The sequence below is a fragment of the Homo sapiens genome, chromosome 2 (assembly GCF_000001405.40).
Source record: "Homo sapiens chromosome 2, GRCh38.p14 Primary Assembly".
Taxonomy (NCBI): domain Eukaryota; kingdom Metazoa; phylum Chordata; class Mammalia; order Primates; family Hominidae; genus Homo; species Homo sapiens.
This window is the reverse complement of record NC_000002.12, coordinates 110,871,102-110,886,324: the sequence shown is the minus strand read 5'-3', so window position 1 is coordinate 110,886,324 and position 15,223 is coordinate 110,871,102. Positions and strand designations below refer to the sequence as shown.

Below are 15,223 nucleotides of genomic sequence, written 5' to 3'. Positions count from 1 at the left end.
ACCATCAGAGAAAATGCCTGTGCAATGTGGCCGACCCATGGTTAAAAATGCCAAACTAGTTTTTAACATTAAAATAATATATGTGTATGGTTTAAAAATTGACATGAAAAGAAGAGACACCCTACTTCTCCACCCCTGCTAACTCCCTATATTATACATCCTACCAGGTAGCACATGTGCCTTCGTGTGCACACGCACATATCCACAAGCACGTGCATGTATATATATGGGTTTGGGCCATAATCCCAAAAGATAAAAATCCCAAAAATATACTTCTGGACAAAATAATTTTTAAAATTATTTAAAAGACATTGATTTACATTTTTAAAGGGGGATTGATTTGAGAAACATATAAAAACATGACAGAACACTTCATAGGCCACTTTACACAATAAAATAGGCAATAATAACATACATATTTCTGTATAGACACTCAGATATACTAACAACATTTGCAAGGGTGTAACAGCTACGAGCAGCTGAGCCATATTCCAAAAGAAATAGCTTATATAACTGCATACATCTGAAATATTGTGACAGACAACCCAAGTTTTTTGATGAGATTGATCAAAAACCTCCATGGGTCACCAAAACACCCAAAATACAGAGGTATAAAAAGGACATCGCTTCACTTACTAAGGAAGTTTGAACATTTTTATGTACATACACAATGTTACACACAAAGCTAATGTTGTGATAATGGGCTTTCGTGGAGTCGAATTTGCAAAAAATGCATAAAGCAGATTAAAGCTCTCCAAAAGCCTTTACATACTTTATACCTCCAGTCTTAAAATGATGCAAATATGAAATACGAAGCATAACAAATTGTAAAAAAATAATAATAATAATAATGCTGACAATTTAAAATAGTGGTGACTAAACAAAAACAACTAAAAAGAAATTCTGATACATGAAAATGTGTATTACAGGGATTAATTATGGGAAAGCGCAGGGATTAAGAGCTGGCCAACTTACATAATCATTAAGTATATTTTGAAGTCTTTCATCAAGAGGAATAGCTGCTTTTTTTGTTGTTTTAAGGGCCTGGTTCTCCTCAGAGGACAATTTCACATTCATTTCCTACTTGGCCTTGCTCTTTTTGGAATTCTTTTATAATTCAATATACACTGATGTGAGCATCCCTGTTAAATGTTCCCATCTCCTTTGCCATGCTTCTATGTTGTTTTGGGTAAGGAGAAATCCATTCCCCACGCACTCATATACAGACCACAAATTTGGCAGAAGCAACACTTTTGCGTACCTTCCTATCCTACCACACACATAATTATTTTTGAACCAGTCAGTAACTTCCATGGCTTCTTCAGGCAAATGTGGCTCTAATTCATTAAAAGCCCTGGAAATTTCATCAGCTAGAAAGAATGCCAATGCAGATAAAGGAGACATTTTTAAACTGAAGTTTCAATTGTTGCTGTATCTCGTGGCCAATCTACTGATCTGAATTTTCTGCCAAATGCATTGGGCTGAACGGAAAAAACCAACTTTATCGGTAACACCTTGAAATTCACTTTTAGAAGCCTTTATTGAACCTAACTCCAAATCTGTCATTATGGCATGGGGATTCAATTAGATATTGGGCATTTTAGACTTCAGAGATTTAGACTTCAGGAATTTTGATCTTTAAAGATTTCAGCATCTGGGGTTACAGCATTTGGGATTGTCTTTTGGGATAATAATCGGCAACATATATTTGTATCCATCCAACCTCTTTACACAAATAGAATCATGCAGTACCTACTCTTCTGTAGCTCAGTTTTTTTCACTTAATAACATCTCTCTGAGCTCCTTTTATGTCAGTGCTTAAGGGTGGCAGGATATGTAACCCCTAAATATGCAACTTTGGTAAAAGTATTATATTGAGTAAAAGGCACTGGAAAAACAAAAGATGTAAGAAGGGAATCCTAGTCTCCCCCTTTTCTTTCTGAAAACAGGAGATTAAACTCTCATTTGAAAGATACCCTCCCTGTACCAGGAAAAAGGAAACATTCTTTAACGAGGAGTACGAACTCAGAGAATTCTGGACAAACACACCTTGTTAAGATAGTTCTCATCTTCTTTAGCTTCCTTACATAGTTTAATTTTCCACAACTGCTTCTCTTTGTTCGACCTAGTATAAAAACATTTGGGTTTTGCCACTTTTTTGGGTCTTCTTCTCCTTATAAGAGTTCCCATATTACTTAAAACTTACATAAATGTGCATGCTTTGCTCCTGTTAATCTGTCTTATGTCAATATAATTCTCAGGCCCAGCTGAAAAACCTTAAGATGGTAGAGGTAAAATTTTGCCTCCTCTACAGTGCCTATTACCCATCCTTTCACTTTTTGTAACACCACGTTGTACTCCATCACATGAATTAACTACTTTTTCTTTAACCAACCTCCCCTAATATTTAAGTGTGTACTATATGTGTCTATGATAAATAATGCAATTCTTTAATATACATACTTTTTTCTCTCATACAAAGGATGGAGTATGTCTTTAAGTACATTTCTAGAAAAGAAATTTCTAGTTCAAAGGCAGCATGTATGAACAATTTTCATAAATATTGAAAATCAAGGTTATTGAAGTAATAATAAAATACATTTAAATCAGATAGGAAGTATTACTCATTCCTAAACATAAAATAGCACTTAGAGTTGTGTGTGTTAAGAAGGCTGGTATGGCTGGAATGGACTGCTTAGGAAAGTAACCCAAGATGATGCTGGAGAGGCAGGCAGAGGCCAGATAATGAAAGACCTTCTGAGAAAGAATTTTACTGTCCAAAGTTAGGACACTTAACTAAAAAGGATGCTATTAAAAAGTATTCTCGCCAACAGGAGCAAACCAGGACTATCCTATGCACACCAGACAAATGTGTGCCCTGAGTTTAGGACTGATTATTAAGAGTGATGAAAGGGGGCCAGGCGTAGTGGCTCATGCCTGTATTCCCAGTACTTTGGGATGCTGAGGCGGGTGGATTGCTTGGGGCTACGAGTTTGAGACCAGCCTGGCCAACATGATGAAACCCCGTCTCCACTAAAAATACAAAAATTAGCTAGGCATGGTGGCATATGCCTGTAATCCCAGTTTCTTGGGAGGCTAAGGCACAAGAATTGCTTGAACCCAGGAAGTGGAGTTTGCAATGAGCCGAGATGGTGTCACTGTACTCCAGCCTGGGCAACAGAGTGAGATCGTCTCAAAAAAAAAAAAAAAAAAAAAACCAGTGACAAAAAGGGCATGGAATGCCTTCTGCAGAGACTCACACAGAGTGAATGGAGGGATGGGACACTGGAAACTGGCACAAAGTTGTTGTGGAAAAGGCACTATTACATCAGTGGGGGTCTACCCAGAAAAAGCTGAGCCAGAAACTGGTAAATGAACCTTAATATGAGAAACAATCTTTGAAATACATGCAAACAACTTTGTTAACATGGGTCTTTTACTCCAATAGCTGGGGATTGCTGAATGATATTCTGAGAAATATGCACTATCAAAATTGACCTAAAACAAAGAGAAAACTGATTAGATCAATGATCAATAAAAGGCCTGAAAAGGTCATCAAAAAGGAGCATAGGCCATTCCATGGAGGAATGATGGTCTTTTCAATAAAGGGACCTGGAACAGTTGGATACCCACATGCAACAAAGTGAATTTTGACCCATACCTTACACTATATGCAAAAATTAAGGAAAAAAATCAGCCATTAACTTAAATGTAAAACCTAAAACTATATAAATTCTAGAAAATAAACAAAAGATAATCTTTGTGGCTTTGGGTTAGAAAGACATTTCTTAGATACAAAACCAAAAGACCTTTTATGATCCATAAAAGAAAAAAAATAATATGTTGGGTTTTATGAAAATTAAAAACTTCTGCCCTTTGAAAAACACTATTAAGAGAACAAAAAGACAAGCCACATGCTGGCAGAAAATATTTGCAAAAGGCATATCTGATAAAGCACTTGTATTCAAAATATATAAAGAACTCTTAAAACTCACCAATATGAAACAAAGCCAATTTTTTTTAAATGGTGAAAGATTTGAACAGATAACTAAAGAAAATAAATGGATAGCAAACAAGCGTAGGCAAATAAAAGATGTTCAGTGTCATTTGTCTCAGGGAAATGAAAATGAAACCCACAATGAGATACCACTACACACTATTGGAATCACTCAAATTGAAAAGACTGACCACGCTAAGGATTGTTGAGAGTGTGGAGCAACTGGAACTCTCATACGCCGCTGTCGGGAAAGTAACATGGTACACCACTTAAAACTGTTGTGGTTTCTCAGAAAGTTAAACATACACCGACTACATGATCTAACCATTCTATTCTTATTTGCCTGAGAGAAAAGATAGCATATGTCCCTAAAAAAGACTTATATGCAAATGTTCATAGCAGCATTATTGGAAACAGCTCCCCAATAAAAAAAAAACCCAATGTCCCTCAGGTAAAGGGGTAAACTAACTGTGATACATCCATGCAACTGAATATGAATCTACAATGAAAAGGAATTAACTACTGATACATGAATGGATCTCAAAATAATTACACTGATTAAAAGAAGAATCAATCAGACTGAAATGAGTATATACTGTATTCTTCCACCCACATAAAACTCTAGAAAATGCAAGGTAACTGATAGTTATGGAAAGCAGATTATTGGTTACCTGGCGATGGGAGAGAAAAGCGAGAGGACGGGAGAGAGAGATTATGGAGAGACATAAGGAAACTTTTGAGGGTGATGAATATGTTGATTATTTTGATTGTGGCGATGGTGCCATGCCATGAATGTGAAAACTATCAATCGTACATTTTAAACACGCACAGTTTATTGTATGTTAATTATACCTTAATAAAGCATATATATATATATGATTACAAAGAAAACAGGTTATATTAAAAGAGTTAACAAAATAATTTTTGGAAAGCAATTTATGATATAATTTTTAAGTTACCAGAGATTTATCCCTAAAGAGCATCAGACACAAATAATTTAATAATTTCACAAGTGAATCTAGAAAACCTCAAGAGAGAAGTAATTCATGTTTTACAGGAAGAGTCTTAGATCTGTGGAATTCACTAGAAAACCCTGAAGCAACCTCCTGTATATCTACATATATGATATGTATGTGATATGTAATATATATGTGTGTATATATACACACATACATATACATATAAATATATATATATGAACTGTTCAATAAAATGGTGTAGGGAAAACTGGCTATCTACTTGGAAAAAATATATTAGAAACTTAAAAATAATCTTCTAATGATCTCAAAAGTGAAATGTAGTAAAAAGTATAAAAAATTTTAGAAAGAAAAATTCGGAGATATTTGTGTAGTCCCACATGAGGAAGTTCTTCCTAAGAGATTAAAAATCCAGAAACAATGAGGAAAACAAAACTAAACCAGATTTGCCATACCCAATGTCAGTGAAGGTGGGAGAAAGGAGCCTCCTCAATCTCAGGAGTTTCATTGATGGAGTCTTGTTGTTGTTGTTATCATTGAGACAGGGTCTCACTCTGTTGCCTAGGTTGGAGTGCAATGGTGCCATCACAGCTCACTCCAATCTTGGCCTCCCAGGCTCGAGTAATCCTCTCACCTCAGCCTCCCAAAGTGCTGGGATTACAGACATGAGCCACTGTGCTCGGCCAGTAGAGTCTTTTGCAGAGCAGTTTGGCAATGTTTAAATTGCCACAGTTGTATGTAACAACTCTAGCTCCAAGAACCCATCCTACAGAAACAGTCACATATGGACACAGATACACATGTACAAAGTCACTCACCACAGCCTTGTTTGTGTAATGGTGGAACAAAAAGCATAAAAACAGAAGTGTGTGTCAGTAGAAGGATTGTTACATAAATTCTGGTCTATCTAAACAATGGCACAATAACATAAACCCTATTGAAAGATTTCTAAGACACACTGCTAAGTTTAAAAAAGAAACTGGCAGAACAATTCATACAGTTCGAATTAAATGCATTGTAGGTGAGAAGGATACTTGCTCCCTGTGACTAGGACTAGCACGCTGGGAAGGTGAATGGGGACTGAGAGGGGACAGGGAGGGCACTCTTCACTCTATGTCTATGTCTGCATTTCTTGTATCTTTTACAACATCCATTCTTTTTTCCTTTCTTTTCTTTTCTTTTTTTTTTTTTTTTTTTGTTTGTGACAGAGTCTCACTCTGTCGCCCAGGCTGGAATGCAGTGCAGTGGTACAAACTCGGTCACTGCAACCTCCACCTCCCAGGTTCAAGCAATTCTCCTGCCTCAGCCTCCTGAGTAGCTGGGATTACAGGCACCTGCCACCATGCTTGGCTAATTTTTGTATTTTTAGTAGAGACGGGGTTTCACCATGTTGGCCAGGGTGGTCTTGAACTCCTGACCTTAGGTGATCCACCTGCCCTCAGCCTCCCAAAGTGCTGGGGTTACAGGCATGACCCACCACGCCCAGCCCTTTTTTCCTTTCAATCTATGTCTTTTCCTCTATTCATTTGGAAATTATATAGTCTGTTTCTATTCTTCTAGTGGCCACCATAGACATTTCAGCATGCATATTTAACCCGGTGGAACCTCAGTTGCCCTTGTTACTGAGCAAAAAAACGCCCTAAGTGCTTGGCTCCAGACATGCACCTCACACAACTGTTCTGGAGCGTTTAAGTTCTACCCTCCCACAAATCAGTCAATACCGTTACTGATTTCAACATTTGATGGCAGTGTAGATTAAATACATGTTAATCAATTTATCTGTTCATGTCTTCTTGCAACCCATCTCATTCTTCGAAGATTATTTTCTTTATTCCTGAAGAATATTCTTCAGTTCTTTTCCGGGAGAGATTGTTGGTAATATATGTTCTCAGTTTGTACTCTGAAGTGTCTTCATTTTGCTTTCTCAAAAGAGGATTTCCTTAAGTAGAAATCCTAGGCTACATCATTTTTCCTTCAACGGTTTGAAGGTTCCATGGCACGGACATCTGCCTTGAGCTGTTGCTGAAGACAGCCTCTCAGTCCAGCTGCTGTCCTGGTGTGGGAAATCTATCATCTCTCTTGGGCAACCTGCTCTTCAGTTCAATACAATGGGATTGGATGTGGGCTTCTTAAATTCATTTTCTTTGGATTTGATTGGGCTTCTGACTCAAAAATTGTGTCCTTTATCAATTCTGAAACATTCTCAACCAATATTTCTTTTAGTGGTTCCTCCTCTTATTTATCTGCATTTCCTATTACTTTATTTTTGTTTTGTTTTGACTTTTTTTTTTTTTTTAACGGAGCCTCGCCCTGTCGCCCAGGCTGGAGGGTAGTGGCGTGATCTCAGCTCACCGCAACCTCCGCCTCCCGGGATGAAGCAATTCTCTGCCTCAGCCTCCCGAGTAGCTGGAATTACAGGCACCCACCACCATGCCTGGCTAATTTTTGTGTTTTTAGTAGAGACGGGGTTTAACCATCTTTGCCAGGCTGGTCTTGAACTCCTGACCTCGTGATCCACCCGCCTCAGCCTCCCAAAGTGCTGAGATTACAGGTGTGAGCCACCGTGCCAGCCTGTTTTGATTTTTTGAGATGGAGTCTCGCTCTGTTGCCCAGGCTGGAGAGCAGTGGCATGATCCTGGCTCACTACAACCTCTGCCTTCCAGGTTCAAGGGATTCTCCTGCCTCAGCCTCTTGAGTAGCTGGAATTACAGGCTTGCACCACCGTGCCCAGCTAATTTTTTTGTATTTTTAGTAGAGATAGGGTTTCACCATGTTGGCGAGGCTAGTCTTGAACTCCTGACCTTAAGTGATCCACCCACCTCAGCTTCCCAAAGTGCTAGAATTACAGGCATGAGCCATTGCACCGGGCCTGCATTTCCTATTTCTTGCATATCAATTCAACATACATTAAAGCTGTTCATTCTTTCCTACACGTTTCCTAACTCCTCTTGAATATTTTCCATTTCTTTGTCTCCATGTATTAGGCATAATTTCTTCTGATAGAGCTTCTCACTTACTAAGTTTCTCTTCAGTTGTGTCTAATCTATTTAATCTCTCTTTTGAGTTCATTTTTGATTACTGCATTTTTCACTTGTAAAAGTCCTCTTTATTTTTGATGTTCTTGGTTATTTCTGAAAGCCTCTTATTCCTTGGTCGTTCTTTTGACACCTTCTTTTGCTTCTTGAAAATCCAAACTGAAACTGTTCATAAAACCCACGGCTTTTATTGTTTTATTCACAGACTCAGGAAAGGCCTGTGATTTTCAGAAAGGATGGGGATTGTTTTAAATTTTGACATGAGATTGATAACCTTCAAAATGAGCTTGCTTAAAAACGTTGAGAAATAATCCAAGAGTGCTTCCTGAGGCTCACACACCCAACCTTCCAGTGCCTGTGCCCCTCCAGATCCAGGGTACAAAGCACCTGCTCAGGAAGAAGGATTGCTGCACGGCTGCGGGATGCAGTGCTCTCCCCAGATGCAACGCATCATGGCCCTCAGGTGCAGAGTCATTATTACCAGTGGGTGAGACGCCAGCAGGCAGTGAAGCCGGGCACTGCTTCCCTCCCTTCCTCTCTGTCTTCACCCTCCAGGTGACCAATCTCATCCCAGTGGGCCTTTCTGGTCTCCAGGGTTTCCGGTAATGCACAGGCTCAATGTCAGTAGAGGGTCTGACCTTTGTAACTTTGAGATAACATGGTGACATGGACTCTCCGTGGTGACCCAAGTAGAGCGGAGTCTCTGTAGGAAAAGGAAATCCTGTGGGTTTGTGAGCTGCATCAACCCAGTGGCTACGTTCAAAGGGTTAAGTTCTGTTTTCAGCTGTATCTACAGTGTTTGAAAAAACAACCGAACAAAACCCTATTTGCGAGATCCCACAGAAATGTGATTTCTTGTTAAACCAACATAAATTAAGACAGAAGTTACAGATCTTTCTAAAAACATCTAGAAAGCAAGCACACGGGCCGCAGCAGAAGCTTGGTCTGCTGTTGGTGATTCGGGGCTGTTGAAGAGTCAAGGGCAGCTTGCATCAAGACTAGAGACGCCCTGCTGCCTGCAGAGCAGAGGGCAGGCAGAAGATAGTCCATGAGGCGGAGGGTGGCAGAAGCTCCCAGGCAGCCAGCACGACCCTCTGCGTGCCGCCTCAAAGACGGCAGGAACTGTGAGACAGCCACACCCACTGCTGCTGGCTGTGCTGGAGAAGGAGGGTCCCTCGCAGCAAACAGGAAACTTTCCTGAGCATTCTGCTTTCATTCAGCTGTCACCTACTGGGCACCTCCTGAGGTTCTGTGATATGGGGGGCAACAGGGCCACCACCAGGCACAGCCCAGGGAGGTTGCAATAAGCCACCAGAGCATGGATGGGGAGTAGTAGAGAGACTTAAGCTCCGGCCTACCAGGCTCAGTTTCAATATCACTGATATAATTCATATTTTATTGATTTATCTTTTTCCTCTCTGTTTCCTCCACTAGACTGTCAGCTCCACAAAGGTGAGATTTTCATCAGTTTTGTTCACCATGGTATCCCTATAATGCCTAGAGCAGGGTTTGGCACCTAGGGGGCGCTCAAACAAACATTGCTGAAAGAATAAACAAATGGACCAAAAATACTTTTAGAATCATTTCATTGATTCCGACCCGTCTGTGCCAGTGTGTTAAATTCGTCGCCATGCCATCACATAGTGAGACCTGACCCCGAGCCGCCATTACTCTGTCCTGACTCCTGGCTGTAGAGGCCCCACGGTGCCTGCGGAGAAGCACTTGTCAGCCACGAGCCACAGAAGACAGGGGTCCTGGGCAAGCTGGAGTGACAAGCTGCACACAGTGTGATGCAATCTACCCCAGACGGGCTCCTGGAACAGGCCTGGCCCGTCTGCCCAGCCTGCTCCCTCCCTCCCAGAGGGACGGGCCTCAGCCTGGGCTGGAAGCACCCCAGCCTCTCTGACCCAGTCTGCTGACCCGGCCCCTGGGCATGGCACACCACAGGCACCTCGGGGGAGCTCCCTCTACCTGCACAGCCCAGAACCCTCCCTGGCACCGTGGCTGGCCCACCTCATTTCTCTGCCTGCCTCTCTCTGGGTGTGGGTATCCTGTGGTGCCCCTCCTCAAGAAAAAACCTGCCACGCTGGAGTTGCCTGGGTCTAGATTCCAAGATGGAGCATTACAAGATGGCTTTCAAGTTCTAGAAACACAGTTCTGGGGCCAAGGCACACTATCACAGAGGATGCGTCCAAGCCTTCTGACTTTGAGAGGGACATTTATAAAGTACCGTGCAGTCAGTGGAAAGAAGCTAGATATGATGATGTGTCCAGTCTCCTTGAAAGCAGAGGCATCCAGGCTCCCCACTTTTCTTTGAGGATTCCAGCTGGTGCTTTATAAAATACAGTAGAGTGGATTTACACAGACTCCAGGGCCCCAGAAGTGGTTCTACTGTTTCTTTCCTGCATGTCCTTGAGCCAGGGACTCACCTGCAGGTGAGTCTGTGTGCCTTAACCTCCTCATCCATTGTAGAGGTTACAAATGCCTTTCAACAGCTTCACTTAGGTGCCATAAGGGTGGAATTTACAATCCTCATTTGACAAATGAGGAACCCAAGGCTCACAGAGGTCAGGCGGCCTTCCCTGAATCCCACAGCACCAGGATCAGGCAGAGCTGGGCCCACTGCAGGATGCAATTCCACCTGGGTGCTAGAAAAGTAGCTTTCCCTTTGGAATGATAGGATCGAGGTGAGCAGCAAGGGGCTCCCAGAGGAGACGAGCCAGAAAAATGCAGCCAGAAAGCACACTTGTGCACCCAAACACCAGGACCACACACTCACAGCCCCAAGCCCACACCCATGTGCACAGCCTGAGCCTGTCTGCTGGGTCGGTGACTTCTGGGGCTCCACGCTCCACACCTCCCCATATCTACAAGGGTCTTGCATGTCAAAGGCGTAAAGAGGAGAGTCTTAGAATTGTGTGGCTTGCGGTGACACAGTGTTCAAAGCTGCATTCTTCTTTGTCCAAAAAATACACTTAATAAAGAAAGCAGAAGTGTGTGGTGACTCACAGAACCCTGAAATAATGCTCTCCACGGTCCTTCCCTCTTCAAGAGTCAAGAAAAATATTCTCAAAGGTGGCAGTTTCCACTTATGAGATTTACACATGAACGGCCATCCTTTGTCCCTGTGAAACAAAGTGTACATCCTGGCTTAGGTAGGCACGTGGGAAGTCGGCCTCACTCTAACTGTGCTGCGTCATTGGCCTGCGTGCAGACAAGGGACCGGCTCAGAGGCTGCCTTCAGGTTACGGAGCGGAGCCACGTGGCAAGCTAGTGTCAGTGCTTGGGTTTAGAGCTGCACCTGATCACAGCTTAAAATCCTGCCGGTGGCAGGACAAGGGAACAAGGTCAGTGAGAATCCCGCTCCCAGATAACACAGGAGAGAGAGACCTCGGCGACCTCCCAGTTCAGGGCTCTGGGGCCTGAAGCACGTGTTTCATAAAAGGCAGATTCCTGCCTCCCACCCCGAGGGATGCTGGTTCACGAGATCCGGGATGGAGCCCAAGAATCCTCCTGAAATTCAGAAAATGATGCGAATAATAAACCCAATCATTCTAAAACACAAGCAGCACAGCCCTCACGGCCTCCACCGTGAGCTCTGCTCTGCTCTAACTTGTTAAACCCTCGCAACACCCAGAGGAGGTGGGCACTGTCATGTGGTAGCACCATTATTACTATTTTAGCAACCACTCCCCTCCCCTGTGCTGAAGGAGGCCATCCAGAGTCATGTGCAGAAATGCTAATCTCGTCCTCTCTTGCCTTCTAATGAGGACAGTGATGGGTTTGCTCAAGGTCAGGCTGAATGGCAGAGGGGCTCTTGGGGCCTCTCAACTCCAATTTTTCTGCTCATTCCGCTTCCCAGGGACCTGCCTTTGTCTGCCTTGCTTCGCCCTCCAGCCTCTAGGCCCAGCTCTGACCGAGGGATGTCAGGTGTGGCTGGAAGGGAAACCAGGGGCTGGGGTGGGGGTGGGAGAGACGTATTTTGCAGTGAGCCTGAAACCACAGAACTAAACAATTTCTTGTCATGCTGATGCCAACCAACGTGGGGCACGCAAATGTCGTGCCCACTCTCCCTGCAGCGGGGCAGCCCCTCACCACCCCCCCAAAAGCATTCTGTTCGGTTCCGTTGTCCCCTGCTGCCTTGCAGAGCCCCCCAGGCTGCTGAGGGTGGGGGCTGGTCTCCCTTTTGCTGCCCTCTCTCCCAAGGCAAGCAGCGCCCACCTGCCCTCTGGGCATCCTCCCCGGCTCTTGCTCTGGGGTGGGTTTTCTGTTTTCCACCCAGCACAGTGCTCTGGGCCTCAGGTCTTGTACCCAGAGGGCCAGGACATGGATAGGGCCCTAGGGCTGGCCGATGCCACACGGTGGATGCCAAGACCACAGAGCTACCCTGTGCCTCATCCTCAGCCTCATACACTGGTGAGGGAAGGGCTGCATGACCTTCCTCAAGAACATCTCAAAACCTGGGGTGGCCCCATTGTTTTCTTGGAGAGCCTGTCTCCCTGTATATAAACCTGCCCTACTGGACAGACGTAGAAAACGCAATTGAACAGATACACTCTGGGAGGCCCGGGCCCCTCCTGGCCCCTCCCAACGGGGGCCCTTTTACCCTCTCCCATGGCAGGAGGCAGGGCAATTTGAGGGATGAGCAGGGAGGCTCACAGCCTCCCCTGGCTCTACTCCATCTGCTCTGAAGCTGAGCAGTGGGGACAGTGGTCAAGGAGGCACCTGGGGCAAATTGCAGCCCCCTTCCCACCCACCAGGTGCCCAAAAGAGAGACAGGAATAATTCCAGTACCTCTGCCACAGGGTTGCTGAGAGGCATACATAAGATAATACTTTAAAACTTGTAAGAGCAGGCTCAGCAAACATCCTGCTACCTGGGGCTCACGGCATCCTGTGGACCATCCCCCAACCGCCTGACACACTGCTTCCCTAGAGCTGAGGTTGAGTCCACACTGGGCCCCAGCTGGGGCCAGGCCTTCTGGCTGCCACCGAGCCTCCTCCCAGATCTCCCACTGGACTCCCAGGCATCAAACGATGGCGTGCCTGGGCGCCCAATCCACCAGCCCCCTGTTGCCCGAGGATCCTCCCATTAGCCACAGCCAGGGTTCTGGGAGAATGCCACCACCAGTGACCCATGGTGTGCACAACACAGTTTTATGACAAGAACTTCCCCAGTTTTGTCACCCTCTTCAGGGACAGGGCCGCCTGGGGTTTTTGTGTGACGGAGGAACCCAGCACATTTGCCTACAGTGTCAATGTGACTCATAAAACATTTGTTTTATGTTAAAACAAATGCAGGCAGAAAAAACAAAATAGAAATGCTACACAAGTTTTTACTACAAAATATATTTTGAGCATAACTGACAACCTAGTGCTGCTCCCGCAGCCCCGTGAGGTGTCACTCTCTTCTCTCCTTGGAGACATTTCACTGGAGTCAAGCCAGGAACAAGCCCTTCAGGAGGCTTAGGGGTTTGCTAACAAGCAGCCCCTCCCTCTAGACCCTATCCCCCAGCACTCACACACCAAAGGATTCCAAAATCCAGGTTAACAGAAACATTACAGTCAAGCATCACTCTTAAGAACTGAAACCTGGGCCTCCAACTAGACCTTAATGCAGAGGGCGGCCGGCCACGCCCTGCAGCCTCCTGGAGCTGGGTGCAGGTGGCCAGTGACACACAGCTCAGATGCACTCAAAGCCTGGCATGGCCTTGCTGGAAGTGACAGCTCTCCTCTGGGCATGAGAACCTGGGAGAGGCTACTCTCCCATCAACGTGACCTAAAGCCAGCAAGAATGGTCTCTGGCCAGTTTTGTGAAGGTTGGGAGACCCCCAGGAGACGGACACCTGGCCCATAAGGAGGCTCTCCTGGTTGGGCACCACCCTATATATACGCACTAGCCTCAGTCAGGCCCAGGTATTGCACCCGCTACAAACTGAAGGTGGTGAATTCAAGGGAGCCACAAATTTCTGGCACTCCAGCCATCTAGAGATGCCCTCTATGTCCCCTCCTCTTGAATCCTGACGGGCCTCAGGCTTGCTTTAACCAAAAGAAGGCAGAACAAATGATCCTACACCAGTTCCAGGCTTATCCTTCAGGGTGTCTGGCAGCTTCCATGTACTCCTTCTTGGCACCCAGGGACTACAGTGCCAGGAAGTCCAGCCTCAATGATGTGATGGTTTGAGGCCAGCAGAGAGGCCCTAAAGGACAAGAGGTCAACTCAGATGTTTCAGCCTCAGTTGAGCTCCCAGCTGCCATGCAGCTTGTGTGAACAACCCCTAATGACAACATTCCAAGTTTCTGGCATATATTTTGTGAGCAATGACAATCATTACAGTTGAATGCATTAAGTTTTGGAGTGGTTTGTTACGCAGAGGTGGATTACTGAAACACCAGGTCATGTGAAACAAACAGGAGGCAGAACAAGCCTGTGGGAGGAGTGAGTCTCAGAATGAGTGGGCAGGATGCAGGCAACCAAAGGAAGCGTCCCCTTGCTCCCAGGTCACTATGAGTGTTGGTCTCCAAACAGTGCCTGGAGCTGAGGTCAGGGGAGACGTCTCAGCGTGCTATGGCGCTCTCATCTCTGACCACAGGTTAAGTGGAGACTGCTGCTCCTGGTTCCCGGGGAGGCAGAGATGCTGCTTTTCTTGACTTTCATCTTACCACCAGTGATTTTGACCTTGAACTTGAACTTCACCTTAGTAGCAGTGATGTAAGACCCCTTTCATTCTTCCACACAGTTAACTGAAGATTCCTGTTGAGCCACATCCCCAACCAGTAAGATTACGGCAAGGATGTGATGAATGAAATCTGCAGTCCCCCGAGACGAATGGCATTAATACCTCTCTCAGTTTTAAGTGCTTCATTGTACAAGCTTCAGGGTATTTGTTTCTCCACTGGGCTGGGACCAGTGGCTAATGCTTCCATATTATTTCCTACTTCTGTCCTGGAAGTGGAGTATCAGCAAGGTCTGTGGAGTATCATGGTCCTATTTCCAAATATTTCTCAGCCCAAAATGGACAGTGTGCCTCTTTCACAACAGAAACCACTGGAGACCTTCCCCAGACTACTAAACAAAGCCAGATCCCCATGGGTTGCCTTGTCCAGGCAGGCACACCGAAAGGGATTTTTCCAACATGTTTTGCATTCCAGGAATGCAAAACGTCTCCTATCAAATGACATCCCGTAAAGTTTCGATAAGCAGTACCTGCTTGG

At 44.7% G+C, this 15,223-nt stretch overlaps 1 protein-coding gene across 31 annotated transcripts in view, besides 3 other annotated features; it reads right to left on the bottom strand.

Moving 5' to 3' along the window:
* ACOXL (acyl-CoA oxidase like) overlaps nt 1-15,223 on the bottom strand; it is a 385,976-nt gene that overhangs the window by 232,224 nt on the left and 138,529 nt on the right. The gene's annotated exons all lie outside the window — the stretch shown is intronic.
* Nucleotides 8,620-9,484: an enhancer, noted in NCBI's record as "H3K4me1 hESC enhancer chr2:111634418-111635282 (GRCh37/hg19 assembly coordinates)". NCBI's record gives its function as "activates a minimal SCP1, AML or CMV promoter by ChIP-STARR-seq in primed H9 embryonic stem cells {active_cell/tissue: H9 hESC(primed)}" and the evidence as "EXISTENCE:reporter gene assay evidence [ECO:0000049][PMID:30033119]".
* Nucleotides 11,049-11,098: an enhancer, noted in NCBI's record as "active region_16376". NCBI's record gives its function as "activates an Ori minimal core promoter by ATAC-STARR-seq in GM12878 lymphoblastoid cells {active_cell/tissue: GM12878}" and the evidence as "EXISTENCE:reporter gene assay evidence [ECO:0000049][PMID:35858748]".
* Nucleotides 11,651-12,274: an enhancer, noted in NCBI's record as "H3K27ac-H3K4me1 hESC enhancer chr2:111631628-111632251 (GRCh37/hg19 assembly coordinates)". NCBI's record gives its function as "activates a minimal SCP1, AML or CMV promoter by ChIP-STARR-seq in naive H9 embryonic stem cells {active_cell/tissue: H9 hESC(naive)}" and the evidence as "EXISTENCE:reporter gene assay evidence [ECO:0000049][PMID:30033119]".